The sequence below is a fragment of the Homo sapiens genome, chromosome 10, assembly GCF_000001405.40.
Source record: "Homo sapiens chromosome 10, GRCh38.p14 Primary Assembly".
NCBI lineage: Eukaryota > Metazoa > Chordata > Mammalia > Primates > Hominidae > Homo > Homo sapiens.
The window spans coordinates 87,744,081-87,762,794 of NC_000010.11; the positions used below are offsets into that span (position 1 = coordinate 87,744,081).

An 18,714-nucleotide genomic window follows, 5' to 3' on the forward strand; every position below is an offset into this window, starting at 1 on the left:
AACAGAGCGAGACTTCGTCTCAAAAAAAAAAAGAAAGATGCTAGAAACATCAAATCAAACCTATTATACATTGCCTTTGAGAATATGGAAGTTGGCAAGTGAATGAGGTGGCTAATGAAACTTAACTGGGTGATAGGGCAAGTTGTATGTAACCTAATATTCAATTTCAGAAGTTCCAGTTACTCTCCATGCCCTGTGAGCTTCATTAGGAAAGGATATCTTTAAAAGATAAATGTCACCCTTTTATCATAACACAGTGAGCTTATCAAACAGAGATTTTCTTTGTCCCACTGCACCACCAGTGTAGTGGATTTGAACGAGCTGGCTGCAAGTATGATGAATAGAAAGGGTCTCAACCCTTTGGAATGCCCCAAACTGAGTTTAATGAATTAATTCTCTTCAATCAGATAAAAGTTCCAGGCCCCTAGCTCTCCTTTCCATCCTTTGTATTGCTATCTGAGCTTTAAAGAGGGTAAGTGTTATGTTGAACTGAAATCAGCATTTGTGTGTGAAAGGTAATTAGCTCATTAATGGCAGTCAGATAATGAGATACTAGAGTTGGTAATTTCCTTTAAACTGCAATTTATTGTGAATAGGGAGGCACTGGAAAGTAAAATCCACATAGTTCTGTAGAATAGTAAGATTTGAGTGTTCTTGTCCGGCTAGCCTGTTTGGAGAAGAGATGAGGAAATACAACCTTGAGTTATGAGGGAGGAATCTTATCTTTAGAGCTCCTATCCTACCTAATATAACAAAGCATGAAGAGTGCACGGAGTCTTAGAACCTCAGTGATTTTCTTGCAATTCTTAGTTGACTCACATTGCTGAATTACTTTTAAAGTAGAATAAAGGTGTCTCCATAAACCATGACCTACAGATTTGACCCACAATGACCAGCATGTCCCTTATGGACATTTTCTAGGTCCAGTGGCACTGCAGGTCCCGGATGATTGCGGGTGCCAATTTCTACATTGTGGGGAGGGACCCTGCAGGAATGCCCCATCCTGAAACCAAGAAGGATCTGTATGAACCCACTCATGGGGGCAAGGTCTTGAGCATGGCCCCTGGCCTCACCTCTGTGGAAATCATTCCATTCCGAGTGGCTGCCTACAACAAAGCCAAAAAAGCCATGGACTTCTATGATCCAGCAAGGTAGGTTTTCAGAGGAAAATTCTTTTATCAACATCTGTATAAAAGAAATGATGAGGCAGAATTTGGGCCCTTTGAAAAACTCTCCAGTGCATTGCCACATGCTCCCAAGTGGACTGAGTCCCTTGAGAGTCAAGACGTGGTCTTATAAATTTTATGTCCCCTAAAATTGTACTACAGTCTTCTGCATATAGTAGATGGTCCATAAATATTTCTCTTTCAACATGCATTCTTGAGCATGCACAGAGTGCCTGGCACACTAAGTGAAAGGAAGCAACATAGAAAGAGATTGCAATGAATATTTATGGTGCACTTGCTCCTCATGCTGAGGGTTCACAGAAGTAGGCAGAGAAACAGAAGACAGACTCTGGGCTCAAGACACTTCCCAGGAACAGTATAGGCGCATGGCAAATACTAAATGGATAGCTGCCATTATTTCCCTTCTCTTCTGCAAGTTCCTGAAGATTTAGAGGACTGCCCACTTTTGAAGATGCAGCATTTTACAGAAAGAACATGGGTCTCAAAAACCATAACCTACTCCAGGAATCCTTAAGGCAGATATCATTTACCTACACTGAGTTCTTTGTTGCCACCCTGTAACAGGCACAATGAGTTTGACTTCATCTCAGGAACTCGAATGAGGAAGCTCGCCCGGGAAGGAGAGAATCCCCCAGATGGCTTCATGGCCCCCAAAGCATGGAAGGTCCTGACAGATTATTACAGGTCCCTGGAGAAGAACTAAGCCTTTGGCTCCAGAGTTTCTTTCTGAAGTGCTCTTTGATTACCTTTTCTATTTTTATGATTAGATGCTTTGTATTAAATTGCTTCTCAATGATGCATTTTAATCTTTTATAATGAAGTAAAAGTTGTGTCTATAATTAAAAAAAAATATATATATATACACACACACATATACATACAAAGTCAAACTGAAGACCAAATCTTAGCAGGTAAAAGCAATATTCTTATACATTTCATAATAAAATTAGCTCTATGTATTTTCTACTGCACCTGAGCAGGCAGGTCCCAGATTTCTTAAGGCTTTGTTTGACCATGTGTCTAGTTACTTGCTGAAAAGTGAATATATTTTCCAGCATGTCTTGACAACCTGTACTCTTCCAATGTCATTTATCAGTTGTAAAATATATCAGATTGTGTCCTCTTCTGTACAATTGACAAAAAAAAAAATTTTTTTTTCTCACTCTAAAAGAGGTGTGGCTCACATCAAGATTCTTCCTGATATTTTACCTCATGCTGTACAAAGCCTTAATGTTGTAATCATATCTTACGTGTTGAAGACCTGACTGGAGAAACAAAATGTGCAATAACGTGAATTTTATCTTAGAGATCTGTGCAGCCTATTTCTGTCACAAAAGTTATATTGTCTAATAAGAGAAGTCTTAATGGCCTCTGTGAATAATGTAACTCCAGTTACACGGTGACTTTTAATAGCATACAGTGATTTGATGAAAGGACGTCAAACAATGTGGCGATGTCGTGGAAAGTTATCTTTCCCGCTCTTTGCTGTGGTCATTGTGTCTTGCAGAAAGGATGGCCCTGATGCAGCAGCAGCGCCAGCTGTAATAAAAAATAATTCACACTATCAGACTAGCAAGGCACTAGAACTGGAAAAGACCACAGAAAACAAAGAATCCAACCCTTTCATCTTACAGGTGAACAAACTGTGATGATGCACATGTATGTGTTTTGTAAGCTGTGAGCACCGTAACAAAATGTAAATTTGCCATTATTAGGAAGTGCTGGTGGCAGTGAAGAAGCACCCAGGCCACTTGACTCCCAGTCTGGTGCCCTGTCTACACCAGACAACACAGGAGCTGGGTCAGATTCCCCTCAGCTGCTTAACAAAGTTCCTCGAACAGAAAGTGCTTACAAAGCTGCCTTCTCGGATACTGAAAGGTCGAGTTTTCTGAACTGCACTGATTTTATTGCAGTTGAAAAAAAAAAAAAGCTATTCCAAAGATTTCAAGCTGTTCTGAGACATCTTCTGATGGCTTTACTTCCTGAGAGGCAATGTTTTTACTTTATGCATAATTCATTGTTGCCAAGGAATAAAGTGAAGAAACAGCACCTTTTAATATATAGGTCTCTCTGGAAGAGACCTAAATTAGAAAGAGAAAACTGTGACAATTTTCATATTCTCATTCTTAAAAAACACTAATCTTAACTAACAAAAGTTCTTTTGAGAATAAGTTACACACAATGGCCACAGCAGTTTGTCTTTAATAGTATAGTGCCTATACTCATGTAATCGGTTACTCACTACTGCCTTTAAAAAAAAAAACCAGCATATTTATTGAAAACATGAGACAGGATTATAGTGCCTTAACCGATATATTTTGTGACTTAAAAAATACATTTAAAACTGCTCTTCTGCTCTAGTACCATGCTTAGTGCAAATGATTATTTCTATGTACAACTGATGCTTGTTCTTATTTTAATAAATTTATCAGAGTGAAGGCTGAGTTTTTTCTGCCTGTACCATTGGGTGTGGGTTGACCACACAACTTAAGGGCTTTGTGACTTTGTATAATTGGAGTGAGACAGCAGCAACTCTCTTGAACATCATAACTGAGATTATTTACCCTTATTCATGTCTTTTTTATTTTTTATTTTTTTAAAGACGAAGTCTTGCTCTGTCACCCAGGCTGGAGTGCTGTGGCACGATCTCGGCTCACTGCAACCTCCACCTCCTGGATTCAAGTGATTCGCCTGCCTCAGCCTCCTGAGTGGCTGGGATTACAGGCATGCACCAGCACGCAAGGCTAATTTTTGTATTTTTAGTAGAGATGGGGTTTCACCATGTTGGCCAGGCTGTTCTTGAACTCCTGACCTTGTGATCCACCTGCCTCGGCCTCCCAAAGTGCTAGGATTACAAGCTCACTGCACCCTGCCTTTTTTCTTGTTTTTCTTTTTTTTTTTTTTTTGCCTGCAGTGGTGCAATCTTGGCTCACTGCAACCTCTGCCTCCTGGGTTCAAGCAAGAGTAGCTGGGATTCATTACTGGGTACATACCCAAAGAAATATAAATCATTCTGCTATAATGACACATGTACACGTTTATTGCAGCACTGTTTACAATAGCAAAGACATGGAACCAACCCAAATGCCCATCAATGATAGACTGGATAAAGAAAATGTAGTACATATGCACCATGGAATACTATGCAGCCACAAAAAGGAATGAGATCATGTCCTTTCCAGGGACGTGGATGAAGCTGGAAGCCATCACCTTCAAAAAACTAACATAGGAACAGAAAACCAAACACTGCATATTCTCACTAGTAAGTGGGAGGTGAACAATAAGAACACATGGACACACAGAGAAGAACATCACACACCGGGGCCTGTTGCGGGGTGGTGAGGGGAGGGAACATAGAGGACAGATCAATAGGTACAGCAAACCACAATGGCACACATATACCTATGAAACAAACCTGCATGTCCTGCACATGTATCCATTTTTTTTTTAGAAGAATTTTTTTTTAAGAGTAGCTGGGATTACAGGTGTGCGCCACCACACCTGGCTAATTTTTGTTGTTTTTTTCTTTCGGCAGAGACGGGGTTTCGCCATGTGGTCTAGTCTGGTCTTGAACTCCTGAGCTCAAGCAATCTGCCCGCCTCAGCCTCCCAAAGTGCTGGGATTACAGATGTGAGCCACCATGCCCAGCCTATTCTTGTCATATTCTAAATTGTGCTCTAGATGTGTAAGATACATGGTCTCAGCCAAGCACTTAATGACATTTTTGGTAGTTGCTGGGTTGTCCAGCGGCCTCCTTAGCCCAGAACTTCATCACAGGTGTTTGTTTTTTGTTTTTTTTTTTTTTTTTGAGATGAAGCTACTTTGTTCCCTTTACTTCAAAGGCACAGATCTTATTCTCTAAGTGCCCCTAAGGAGTTTCACCAGTAGGGCTGGAAGCAGTTGGGTTTTTCTCTCAGCAACCCCTGTACCTCTAATGCAGAAAGGGTTACCTGTTCCCACCAAAACTTTCAGCAGCCTTCAGGCCTGCAGCTTTTTTCCGTGAGTCCCTCCTTCCCTTCTATCCTAAAGGCTTCATGCATTTTTTTTGCTGCTGATCCTCACCCCAAATACAACTGATGTAAATAGCCAATTCAAAGCTGCCATTTGTAGTCCCCTTTTTTCTCCCCATGTTACTTGGTGGCTCCTAGTGCCAATTAGTACGGCAAAGTGGCGGGATATGTCTACGTAAACACATGAAGATGTCAGTGTTGCTGAAGGAGTATGCCAAACTGTTTCAGGATATTTTTCAGAAAAGACTCTGAAAGGCATATGTTATCATTTAGTCAGATGGTGGCAAACCCTTATTAAATGTATCAACACTTTTATCAGGTCACAATATTTTCCCAATCATCTTCCCTGCAAGAAGAAACAAATCTCGATTACTTGGGAACAGCAATTCATTTTCTCCTTATCCTCCTTTTTTTCTATTATGTGACTTTCAGGTCTACCACTGATCTGCAACATAACTTTCCTTATAGGCAGGAAACCAGCAAACTGGGTAGGCACCAGGTCAGTCAATTGTTCTTATGTCTAAAGGTTTGATGGAATGAGGGGAAGCCACAATATGCCACCTCAGAATATACTTCTTTGGCATATTTCAAGTTGATTATTCTGAGAACTGCAGGCAGGAATAGCTCTGAAAAGCTGTCCATTTCTAAAGGAAATTTACATCTATCCACCTTACTAAACAGAGGATGCAAGCAGAGGTTTCTCTCTGAAGGCCCTTTATCTGCCTAAAGAAAGATAAAGCTCTGACACCTCCCTAAAACAGAGACTACCACAGGCAGTCACCTATTCTTCTGATAGCTGTTGCCTAAGAGATTTCATTTGCACAAGACAGCCTTTGCTTACCATGCAAAGTTGCTCACCATCCATCTAGGCAGAGTGGGGCAAGCCAAGCAGCATTCATCAAGTGGAAGTGGAGCTTATGGGATCTGAAGCAGCAGTCCCTAAAGGCCCGTCCACACAAACTACATACGTAAGTTGCTCATACTTCCAGCATGTCCACTTGTTATAATATTGCCCTTCATTTAGTATATACCCAACACCCAACATATTTCAATGTCAGGGCTTCAAGTAACCACCTGGTCATTTGTCAGATTTTGTTTGTCTAACAGTCTTTCCCACAATTTCCTTTGAATAAATTACCTCTCCTTTCACATTTAGTCTTGATGAATCAGTAAACCCAGCTGCTTTGCCTCAAACCATTTAAGCCGAAGTAGTTCCTGTAGAGTCCTCTCAAAGCTCCAAGACTGCCAGGGGTGATTTCTGACCTAGGTTTGCACACTCACGTCCAGGCATTTAAATCTTGAATGGGCATTTTAAGCAGCTGGAGTTAATTTAATCCATGATGAATAAAAGCAAGATTATTGAGCAATTTCTGCTTAAAAAAATCTTCGGGAGCTAAGTTTCTATCCTGAGTCTGGTTCTTTAGCTTCCGTTTGATCTTATATCCTTCAAATAAATTCTTTATTGCTTAGGTTAGCTAGAGTTGGTTGCTACAAACAGAATCCTAACTGGTATTCTTTGTAAGTCTATGACTATGGCCTAACAGATGACCCTCATCTCCCTTAGACATGACTGCAAGTGATTTTGTTTTACTGGATATAGCCAATCCCCTATTTGAGTTATCTTGGCCATTCTTTGAATTTCTGGAAACTGTGTATTTTCAGAACAGTGAGATATACACCACTGTGTTCTAGTTTCAGTTCCAAATTTGCATGTCAGTAACTTATTTCAATGTTTTGGCTTTAGGGTTTTTTTTTTTTTTTTTTGTAGAGACAGGGTCTCACTATGTCACCCAGTCTGGAGTGCAATGGCACAATATCAGTTCACTGCAATTTTCACCTCCTAGGCTCAAGTGATCCTCCCCAGCAGCTGGGACTACAGGTGCACTTGGCTTTAGTTTTACAACTGAATTGTCATGGTTTACAAACCTGTGTCCCTGATGCATCCCACACCCAATACTAACATTCACTGTTACCTATTTTAAAAGCACAAAAGCTAGTATTTGAAAGTATTCTCATGCAGGTTTATGACTGTAAATATTAGACGATTACAAAAATATAATCCCACTTCAGTGTTTTAGTAATGAGACCCTTATCGGCCATTAATAAATAGTATAAATTTTACACCAGGGTAACTGGGATGTTTTCTGTTTCTTCTCACATTGCTAAGTGGTTTTAGGTTTGATATCATCTGCACACAGCATCTGTGTCATATATGACAATCACATTTTAGTCAATTATGTTAGAAGCTCATATTTAATAAGGTTCAAGTTCTCCTCAATATGATTTTCATTAACATCATGATTTAGGCAGAATGTTTTCCTATACATGTAAATAAAGAGAACTTTAGCTTTAAAAAAAAGATTAGAGAACTCTATCTTTGATAACTAAATCTATAACAAATTTAATAATGAAGGCTCTGAAAGATTTCTGTCAGCTCTAGATGGAATTATTCTATGACTTCATTTGAAGCACCCAGTTGGTGCTGGAGTTTCAGCCATGCACTATATATATTCAGCATATCAGAATTCTGTTCAATATTCTGATTTTAAGAGAAGCTAAAAAGAAACATAAAATATACATCATCCAATTTATTTTCTTTATCCAGAAGAAATCTGTTAACATTTTCCCAAAATAACAATTCAAGTAAAAAATTCCTACCAACGAGATGATGTTGCCACCATTTTTACACAAGCACACTCACGGCTTGAGACATCCTCATCTAGCATTAAACCTGTAAGTTACAGCTACTAAATAATGTTAAGCTATTATGATGCATACAGAATAGAGTACCCCAACCCAGCTCTTAATGAATGCTGGGTTTACCTGCAGGTAGGGGGTTGGCTGAGATTAAAAGGAGAAACATAGTAAAGGAGATACTAAATTGATTCAAATACTTCATTTCTAAACTCTACAAAAAAGGCCTGAGAATAGCTTGAGACACATCAGACTTATCAAAAGTCTTCCAGCAATGATGCTTTTAGAGAAACATGGCATAAATGATCCTTTCAGTCTCAATCCCTGGAGTACAGGCCTAGGGATTATGGAACTGGTTTAAGCATGGAGAATGCTTAAAGAATGAGCCTGGTCAACAGGAAATGTACATCAGTGTGCAAAAGTGACAATATTAATACGACAGCTAACATTTGAGCAGTAATTCTGTGCCAGGCACTATGCTGAGGGCCTTACATGCATTATTTTATTATCCAACCCTTTAAGATGAGTGCCACTGTTGCCCCATTTTACAGATGAGAAACTGGGCTCACAGACACACAGTTAATGGGGAGCCTGAGTTTAAATTCAGGAAGCCTGATTCTAGATCCAGTACTCTGAAGTATTACCCAAAATGAATTATCTTAGAATCTAGAATTCAACTATATGTGAAATGCATGTCTAAAACAGAAGGATAGATGTTACATAACACTAAAAGTTATTTAAAAATCAGGAAAATAGTTTCCTGAATTACTTTATGGTCTTAACATGCCTAGATGAGTCATAGTTGCTGGGATTAGTATACTTCTCTAACTTCATTTGATGATTAAAACCACGAAGAAATTGAATAACCACTCCTACTGGATATTGTGAATTTAAGAGAAGACAAAAAGAAAGGACATGTGGAGGTATACATTACTCCTTATTTTCGATTAATATGTCACCAGATTAAAATTAAATTACTGAAATTCATATTAAAACAGAAATGACTAGATACTAGGATATGTGCTATAGAAGTGTGAAAACTCCATAGCAAGATAAAGTCTAAACACAAGTTTTATAAACCAAAAAAAATCCCAGAAAACTTAAAATTACTGAAAAAGACCAAAGATTAAGTGGAGAACAACCAATAAAGAGGGACCCCTTTATTACACATTTATAAAATAATAGAATATAGTTATTAAAAATGGGACACTTTTTTTCATTTTTGGTATCTTGTATTCAGTTTTTCCATCCTCTTCACAATCTTCCATAACTTGCTTTTTGTTATCCATTGTTCACCTGAAACTTCCACCCCACCATTCAAAGTACAACTGAAGAATAAACGATCTAACAGATTCTTGTGAGACACATTATCAGATAAATTAATCCAGTGACACATGAATAAAGATTTAGAGTTTTTAAAGAAATACAGTAAAAGCAAAAACATATGAAGCATAATTTAATCTGATGATTCAGAAGGCACCTCAAGATTGTGTTGTGCCGTTTTCCTCATGCTGCGTGGTTAGGTGCCTATAACAGAATTCTGGTTAGTAAAATTTTGAAAAAAATTCACATATAATTCACATTAAACGACTACAGATAGATACAATATGGGCATTTTGATGTGTACATTTGTACCTGACTTAGGGCACAATTTATAATAATATACTAAGAAAACTAAAATTAATTATAAAATGAGTATTTTTAGCACACTTAGTAACAGCTACTTGTTTTAAACTATTATTTCATTTTTGGTGACCAAATTATATTTGACCATAATTAAAGAACACATAACCTTAAAATAATATTTAAGAAACATAGTTACAACAGACATGTTACATTAAATGAAAAAAGGAAAGAAATGTACATGTATTAAAGGGTACTGAGGTTTTTCAAACCCATTCTTTTGAAAGGCCTTTTAATCCACTTTCATGTAAACCAATTTAAATTTAAAAAGTTTATACTCAAGAGGTGAAATCAGTGTTGAGCACATGGCTGCCTAACAACCATTCAATGCTGATCACTGAACTAGTATTTTCATTTGATTATCCTGACAAACATAATAATTGAGCCCATGTATATATGCAAGATGTGGAGGATCCAACTAATAACTGCAGAAATAAAAACACTCAACTTAAAAAAGGTTGAAACAAATGACAAATGGAAATGGCTGAATCACTGTACCTTTTTGACACAACCTTAAATCTTAGTTTTACTATATATTATTTGGTACTCCTGGATTCAGTAGTTGGGGTAAAAAAAGTTTCTATATTCAAACATATCTACAGAATGTCAATATAAAATGTGTGGATATATACATTTAATATACACATACATACACGCACACACACAAACGCATACTCACATGTCTAGGAACCAGCACCTAACCACATCCCCGTTTCTCACTAATGACCCAATGAATCATTTATGACTTTAAGACCAGCTTAGATTCTATAAGGCTGTACAATATATGGCTGAAAAGGTCAAACACAAGCACCCACGTTCAGGCTGGATTCAACTGTTCCTCCTCATGATTTTTGACCAACAGTAATACCACCTATGTAACAACTATATCTCAATAACTTAGAATTCAGAGTATAAAACCATAAACACTGAGCTCCCTCATTGTTTAAAGAGCACTCTTTCCGTTCTATTTCCACTAACTGATAAGAGGACACACCAAACTAGATCACTGAACTGTACAAATGATCTTTACTCTTAATCTAAACAAACATGTGTTAAAACATTCTGAAATGCTGCATCCTTTGATTTCTTCATCTTTTCAATTGCCCGATGCAGGTCCTGCTGTTGAACAGGCCGAATTTCATCTTCGTCATGGCTAAAATGCAAACAAAACCATCAAATACTCAAATAACTTTAGAATATGCCTCCCTAAAATATTTTACCAAGATTTAAAAGAGATGCATGTGGTAAAAAAAAAATTTTGTTTTCAACTGTAGAAAAGGGTATAAAAATGAAATCTCTTTACCATTCAAGACCCCAAAGACAACCACAATGAACAGCTTCATGTAAATGCTTCCAGGAATTATCTACACATAGAGAAATCATAAGGAATTTTTTAAAAGCACTGAGTGCTAAGAAGTAGGAAGCTAAAATAGCTACAAAGACTTCACATCTATAAGTACACAATATTACCATAAGGTAAAAAATGTTATATGGTTTATTGAAATGGGAATATAATTCCAATTTAAAAAATCACGTTATTCCCATGAAAACTGTAATTAAAAAGTAGCATTTCTAGGTATATACTTACATGCATGTTTTGCTTTTTACAAATTGAGAGTAAAATTCTTCACTATCAGTAAAAATCAACTAATCCAAATCCTCCCTACTTCAATGAGAAACAAAGTCCAGAATATTATGGCTCCCTTGTAATTTACAGATATTCAGGGAAAAACATTCAGGAAAAAGTTATAACCCAAGTCCATCCAGATTTTTCATACTGAAATATAAAATTATAAAATATGAAATTCAGGAAATATAAAACTAGCCAGACTTTTCATACTGAAATACAGTTTTCAGGGCTTTGAGGCAGCAAAAAAATAGATCTTTCATTATTAGTGTAATTTACCTAAGCAAAATTTACGAACTGGTTGGTTATTTCTCCTCTTAATCTTATATATAAGAATAAAAACCTGGCCAGTAGCGGTGGCTCACACCTGTAACCCTAGCACTTTGGGAGGCCAAGGCGGGTGGATCACCTGAGGTCAGGAGTTCGAGACCAGCCTGGCCAACATGTCGAAATCCCGTCTCTACTAAAAATACAAAAATTAGCCGGGCATGGTGATGGGCGCCTATAATCCCAGCTGAGACTGAGACAGGAGAATCGCTTGAACCTGGGGAGAGAGGTTGCAGTGAGCCGAGATCACACCACTTCACTCCAGCCTGGGCAAAAGAGCGAAACTCCGTCTCAAAAAAAAGAATAAAACCTTTGGAAGGTAGATTCTGAGGGTGCACTAACGATGATGAGACCAGAGCCACTGCATATACAGCTACCAGTTGACAGAGTAGCTTTCATGCAGACCTTTCTATATCAAAGCTCGCAAAACATTTTTTTGCTGAAGTTTGCTATGGCAACACACTGCAATTAAATATATGAATACCACAGGCAAGGAGTGAAATCCCTAGGAAGGTGAGGAAGGGAGACCAAGAGACAAAGGGACAAGAGTTGGAGAATTCCTTTAACACAACCCCTAAAAGTACACTGGAGTTCACCAAGAATCACAGAAATTGTTAGAAGGCTGATATTCTGAAAAGAAATGCAGTATAATACTGGTTCCAGGCAAGTGGCATTTTAGGAAACTTCCTTTAGGACATGGTTCACCAGGGCTGAACTATTCCAGTTCATTAGTATCTTTGCTGAAATAAGGCTGTTAAAAAAATTGGATTCTCAACTTCACTATACTTTGGAACTGGTTCCAAGTAAAATTGCTGCAGTGATAAATGGTTTCTTTGTTCAGTAAATACATTTTCGTTAACAAATTGAGGTCTAGTCTTCAATATCTCCAATTTACATGGGAAATTTCCCCTCACATTTACATGTGAAATTTCCACGGATCATCAGAAGAAATTCACCTTTTTTCTCCTTCATTCTAGACCCTTCCCACAATTCTGCCCTCCTTCATTTTCAGAATTCTGCTTTGGAAAAATGGCAATAAATAAAGTTGCAGGGGGTGATAATCCAAATTTACCTTTTATTTCATAAGCGGTGTTTCTAATATAAAGCAAAATAAAAGAAACTAACCTAAAAGCTCTAAAAGATTTTGACAAGTGTTAAAAATCAAGTCAAAATAACATACCTTTCTTCTGATGTAGAATTAACATATTCTCTAACACAGAGGAGGGCAGCATCTCGACACATCTCTTTTAGGTCACTTCCTGAAAACCCATCAGTTTCCTGGGCAACTTCTAGCAGGTCTACATGCCTATCCACCTTAAACAAATATAAAAACATGCTTAAAAAACAAAAATAAATATATTGTAAATGATACTACCAAACACCCATCTTAAAGAAAGTTAAGCATATTATAACTGCATGGGAGGAGAAACAATAGTTTCTAGAAGCTTTTTTTAACCACAAAAGCTTAGAAATTTGAAATATAATTTTCATTATTTGTCCTTATGATTAAGACAAATAATTATTACTAGATACACTGTAGAGTGATGGGGAAGAACGGATATTGGACTTTCTTTGATATCTCTCAAGAAGGTACCAAGGTGACATTTTTCTGTAATACATTCAACATACAGTACTTGGCAAATAACCTACATCAAGAGTCCATTACAAAAAAAAAAAAACAAAACACTCAACATTCCTTTTAATTGTAATGCTTGGTATTCTATTATCTCAACATGAATTTAGCACCTATACTTTTGCTCCTCAAGCTAAGCTTATAGTCAAGCCAATTAAGTGACTGTCCTAGCCACATAATAGACTTGAGATAGTCTAATCATACTAAACTTATGTACAGATTAAGAAGAGAAAATAAGCAAGAAAAAAATCTATAACTACCATCTAGTAAATGATTCTTATGTCTCATTCACTGGGGTAAGCACTTTGCATGTATTATTCTCATTTAATCTTCTCAGAAACTATCAATTTCATTTTCAGATAAGAATCATGAGACCTGGACAGGTAAACACGGTCAGAGCCAGGATTTGAACACAATATAGTGAGGTCCAGCTGTATTTTTCCCCTGTTCAGCTCATCACTTGTTACAGCAACATTTACTTTCCCCCACTGATGTGAAATGACACCTTATAGTTACTAAATTCCCATTTGTATTTGTATTATATTTACTAAATTCCCATTTGTATACGTGGAAGACACAGTGTTTTAGGAAGAACAGCAACTCTACACAAGGACAAGAGACTTGAAGGTGAGACAACACTGCCAGCTCTGCAACTGTGACCTCACATGACAGTGCTCTCATTCCTAAACATGAGGGTTACATGAAGATAAATCATGTTTTTTGATAAAAAGAAACTGAACCCAGAGGGCAGGAGTGCAAGCAGCAATGATAAGCAAAGCAAATGGTAAATACATGGATAAATCTAAATAAACTTTAGCTATATAAATAGTAGTAATAATAGTTATTATAGTAGTCATAATCATTTGGGGTACAAAAACAAAGTGGAGCTAAAATGCTGTACAATAAGGACATGTAAGACAGAGGAGACATCTACATTAAAGTACTCTAAAGTGTTACAATTAAAGCATTAAAAAGAGGGTACAGATATTATTAACTTAGACTTTATGTATGTATGTCAAAATACATAGGTACCACTAAAGGATAGAAAGGGTACACTAAAGGAAGAAAGAGAATGTGTAATTTCCAAACCAATAGAGGAAGGGAGAAAAACAGAATAAAGAATACAAGAGCAGTATTAACAAACTCAGGACTAGAGGGTTGGGACAAATAAGCAAAGAAAAAGCATAATAAATGGAAAGCATTAAAATAATAATGAATGAATCCAAATTTATGAGTAATTACCATAAATGCAAATAGACTAAACTTGGCTGGTAAAAGATTTTATACAAAAGAACCCAAAATGTAGCTATTTGAGGTTTATAATAGACAATACTTATGCTAAAGGGAAAAAAACAGTCTTTGTGTTACATTTGAAATAAAAACAAAGAAAAGCAGGAAGTAAAAGACTGAAAGACATCAACGATTAATAAAAAGAAAGCTAATGTAGTTCTAGTTACATCAGATTTTTACTCAAAATGCATAATTGAGAAGTCATTATATAATGATAAAAAAAAATTCACCAGAAAAATACAACAATTCTGCCCCTGTAGACATACATGTAACATGGCCTCAAAACATATACAGCAGAAATTTATATAATTACATATAAAAATGGGCAAATTCACAATACTGGAAGATTTTTAACTTATGTCTCATGTACTGCCACATCAGTGAGTTCTTAGGACCGGTGACAGCACCTGTGATCTCATGTACATACATGTATATAATTTAGATCTTAGTCCTTTGATGGTTATAGGGTTGCAAATATTTTCATTGTGGCTTGTTTTTTCACTTTGTTCATGTTACCCCGTGACACAGAAGCTTTAAGTCTGATTATAGTCAGACTTCTCTATTCTCTTTCCTTTGTAGTTTTTAATTTTTTGTGAATTGAGAAACTCTTCTCATGTGTCCTTAAGAAACAGACACATACAAGGATCTAATTTTTCTACTGTTTGTAAAAAGAATAAAAATAACATATACCTATACACATGCATTAGGTATCTGTTCACATATATTCACGGGATTGATAAACTCTATCAACTCCTGGACAGCAGGTTACCAATGACGGTGATAATGGGAAGTGGCCAGTGGTTGCTTAAGGCTGTACTTAATTAAAAAAAAAATGAAGCAAATGTGGAAATATATTAAAATTGCCTGTTAAATATGGGTGGAAGATAATGGGGCTATTTGTTTATATGTTTGAAATATTTCATACATTTAACAAACTACTTTAAAGAGCTTTCCAAACTATACTCTGAGATGTTAAAAATTAAACATCCAACACTTCCTCCTGTCTTTTGACCACTCCGTTGTTGGGCCACCCTATGTTCTAACCACTCACAAATCTTGTGCCTGATAAGATGATACAGTTAGAAAGATGAACCAACCAAGTATAAGAAAACAAAGAAAAGAAGATTCCAGTCACTGGGGGAGCAAGATTTAATTAAGAGGTACCATACCCTAATGGTTAAGAGTAGGCTCCATCACTTCTTTGTGTAATCCTGGGCAAGTTATTACAAAACTTCTCTGGGTTTCAGTTTCCTCAGCTGTAAAATAGGACTAATATGTACTCCTTAGATAAATGAGGATTAAATAAAACAATGTATAGCTCACCAAAATGCTTGGCACATAGCAAGCACTCTAAAAGTAGCTCATTTTGTTCTAAGATAATAGCTTTTAGATAAACCATGAAATAATGAGAACTCTTTTCATTAGGCAACTCTGAAGGCAATTCCCAAGTTAAAAAGCTTTTGAGTATAGGCAGCAACAGCAGAATAAGTTAACAGACTTCTAAAATAGCTTGAAAGAATGATACTTACTTATGCAGTTGTTTATTATTATATCCACCATTAATAGTATACTTGTAAATAACATCTATGTACTCTAAGCATTTTACACTTATAATTTTATTTCAAGACCAGCTGGGGCAAATGATGAGACCCTGATATGGTCTGGCTCTGTGTCCCCACCGAAGTCTCATGTTGAATTTAATTCCCAGTGTTAGGGGGAGGGACCTGGTGGGAAGTGATTGGATTATGGGGACAGACTTCCCCCTTGTTCTCATGATAGTGAGTGAGTTCTCTCAAGATCTGATGGTTTAAAAATGTGTGGCACTTCCCCCTTCACTCTCTCCCACTCCTGCTCTGCCATGGTAAGACATGCTTGCTTCCCCTTCGCCTTTGACCATGATTGTTAAGTTTCCTGAGGCCTCCCAGCCATGCTTCCTGTACAGCTTGTGGAACGGTGAGTCAATTAAACCTCTTTTCTTCATAAGTTATCCAGTCTCAGGTAGTTCTTTATAGCGGTTTGAGAACGGGCTAACACAGACCCCATCTCAACAAAAAAAATTTTGTTAACTAGCTGGGTGTGTCTAGCTACTCAGGAGGTTGAGGCAGGAGGATCACTTGAGCCAAGGAGTTCAAGGCTGCAGTGAGCTAGGATTACACCACTGCATTCCAGTCTGGCTAGAATGATGAGGCTGGTCAGCTAGAATGTAGGAGACTGTCAGTTCTGTCTCAAAACAAAAAACAAAAACTATTGCTGCTATATCATACAAAAGTAATTTCAGGTCAGTTTGTATAGGGAAAAAAGCTACCTCCTTAAAGTCAGACGAAATACTTTTATAGGGTATAAATTTTATCAGTGCTAATTCTTTTTATACTTAAAACCTTAAGCCAAAATCACTACACTATCTTTTTAAAATAAGCGAATCATGTTAAGGAATACCTATCAATAAAATAATTGTAAAAGAGTAGAACACAGTATCATTTCAAAAGCTTCAATCTTTTATTCAGAGAAGATGAACTCAAAGTCTGGAAGTTCATGTGAATTTAAAAAAAAAACAACAAAAAACCCTTATTTAGCTCCACAATGTATAAGTATGACAGTGCTCAGTTTACCAAATAAATATATGTGCTACTGATTTGAGGCATCTTTAACAAAATTAAATTAATTTTCTTCAGATTTTATTGAAGTAGCAGTAATCCTTCAGCATATAAATACCAACCAGTGGGAAATGACGAGATGTTCTCATGTCAGCAATTATCCAGAGAGCATTCGTATTTTGCAACATAAAACTGATTAGAGACTATACTTTGTGGTTTTATGAATAACAGAATTGCTAAAAATTCCCTGTATCTGCTGGGTGGGATGGCTCATGCTTGTAATCCTAGCACTTTGGGAGGCTGAGATGGGTGGATCTCTTGAGCTCAGGAGTTCTAGACCAGCCTGGGCAACATGGCGAAACCCCATTTCTACTAAAAATACAAAAAATTCGCTGGGTGTGGTGCATGCACCTATAGTCCCAGCTACTCAGGGGGCTGAGGCGGGGGGATCACTTGAGCCCAGGGAGGCTGCAGTGAGCTGAGATTGTGCCACTGCACTCTAGCCTGGGTGACAAAGCAGAGATTGTCTAAAAAAAAAATTCCCTGTAGCCATGAAAAATATAATCCTAAAAGAATTTCCAAAGACAGTACTAAGAAAGCAGAATACTGAATACTAAAATTAAGAGACATGTATAATTTCTTCCTCTTATTTCTTTTTTAGAGACAGGATCTTGCTCTGTCACCCAGGCTAGAATGCAGTGGTGCATCCACTGCAGCCTTGAACTTCTAAGCTCAAGTGATCCTCCTGCCTCAGCCTCCCGAGTAACTAGGCAGACCCATTTAAATTTTAAAATTTCTTTGTAGAGGTGAGGTCTCATCATGTTGCCCGGACCTGTCTCAAACTCCTGGCCTCAAGTGATCCTCCCACCATGACCTTCAGAAGTGCTAGGATTACAGGCATGAGTCACCATGCCCAGCACTGACATGAGTAACTTCTTAAGTTTAAATGTGAAACTAAATAACCTGTGTAAATTATGGCTCTGTTACAAGGGCTTAAATTTCATCACTTGTACTCATATTAATCAGCTATATGTAAATCATCTGCATCATCTCCAGCTACACTAGACCACACTATATTTCAAAAATGTTATAAACTTCCAGTCATGCAAAACGATCCTTCATTAAAATGGTTTAAATTAAATAACTGTATTGGTTAACTTGAAGTCTCCAAAATTGTAACTACCTTCTAGTATCTGTTAAATTTCTAGCCACACCATGGCCATCCTAATTCAAAGGAACTTATTAACTATCCCCTTTATTTTCTTCTCTAAACTTTTCACTGGTGTCTATCACTGTTAAAGGTTTACCAATTGTGTTTTATCTAAACAATACTACAACTACACTTTTTTTTTTTTTGAGACAGAGTCTTACTCTAGTCACCCAGGCTGGAGTACAGTGGCGCGATCTCGGCTCACTGCAACCTCTGCCTCCGGGGTTCAAGTGATTTTCCTGCCTCAGCCTCCCAAGTAGCCAGGATTACGGTTGCCAGCCACCATGTCCAGCTAATTTTTTTTGTATTTTTAGTAGAGACAGGGTTTCACCATGTTGGCCAGGCTGGTTTCGAACTCCTGACCTCAGGTGATCTGCCTGCCTTGGCCTCCCAAAGTGCCAGGATTACACAATGTTTTTTTGAAAGCAGTTATCAAAAATTCAATTAAAAGTCAACCGG

General features: G+C 37.2%; 2 protein-coding genes across 12 annotated transcripts in view, besides 1 other annotated feature; one reads left to right on the forward strand and one right to left on the reverse strand.

Annotated features, from left to right (window-relative positions):
* PAPSS2 (3'-phosphoadenosine 5'-phosphosulfate synthase 2) overlaps positions 1 to 3,625 on the forward strand; it is an 87,828-nt gene extending 84,203 nt beyond the window's left edge. For both annotated transcript variants that reach the window (NM_001015880.2, NM_004670.4), the window contains 2 exons: positions 922 to 1,151; positions 1,752 to 3,625. In NM_001015880.2, coding sequence (NP_001015880.1) covers positions 922 to 1,151; positions 1,752 to 1,890 — 369 coding nt within the window. In that variant the 3' untranslated portion in view covers positions 1,891 to 3,625. The remainder of the gene's footprint in view (positions 1 to 921; positions 1,152 to 1,751) is intronic.
* ATAD1 (ATPase family AAA domain containing 1) overlaps positions 7,432 to 18,714 on the reverse strand; it is an 89,850-nt gene continuing 78,567 nt past the window's right edge. For 9 of the 10 annotated variants that reach the window (XM_005270252.6, XM_047425908.1, XM_017016847.3 and 6 more), the window contains 2 exons: positions 12,709 to 12,842; positions 7,432 to 10,727 (listed from right to left, as the gene is read on the reverse strand). In XM_005270252.6, coding sequence (XP_005270309.1) covers positions 10,607 to 10,727; positions 12,709 to 12,842 — 255 coding nt within the window. In that variant the 3' untranslated portion in view covers positions 7,432 to 10,606. Of the gene's footprint in view, positions 10,728 to 12,708; positions 12,843 to 15,620; positions 15,708 to 18,714 lie in introns of all 10 variants that reach the window. The other variant, NR_135914.2, reaches the window with a different exon arrangement.
* Positions 17,889 to 17,988: an enhancer, noted in NCBI's record as "active region_3712". NCBI's record gives its function as "activates an Ori minimal core promoter by ATAC-STARR-seq in GM12878 lymphoblastoid cells {active_cell/tissue: GM12878}" and the evidence as "EXISTENCE:reporter gene assay evidence [ECO:0000049][PMID:35858748]".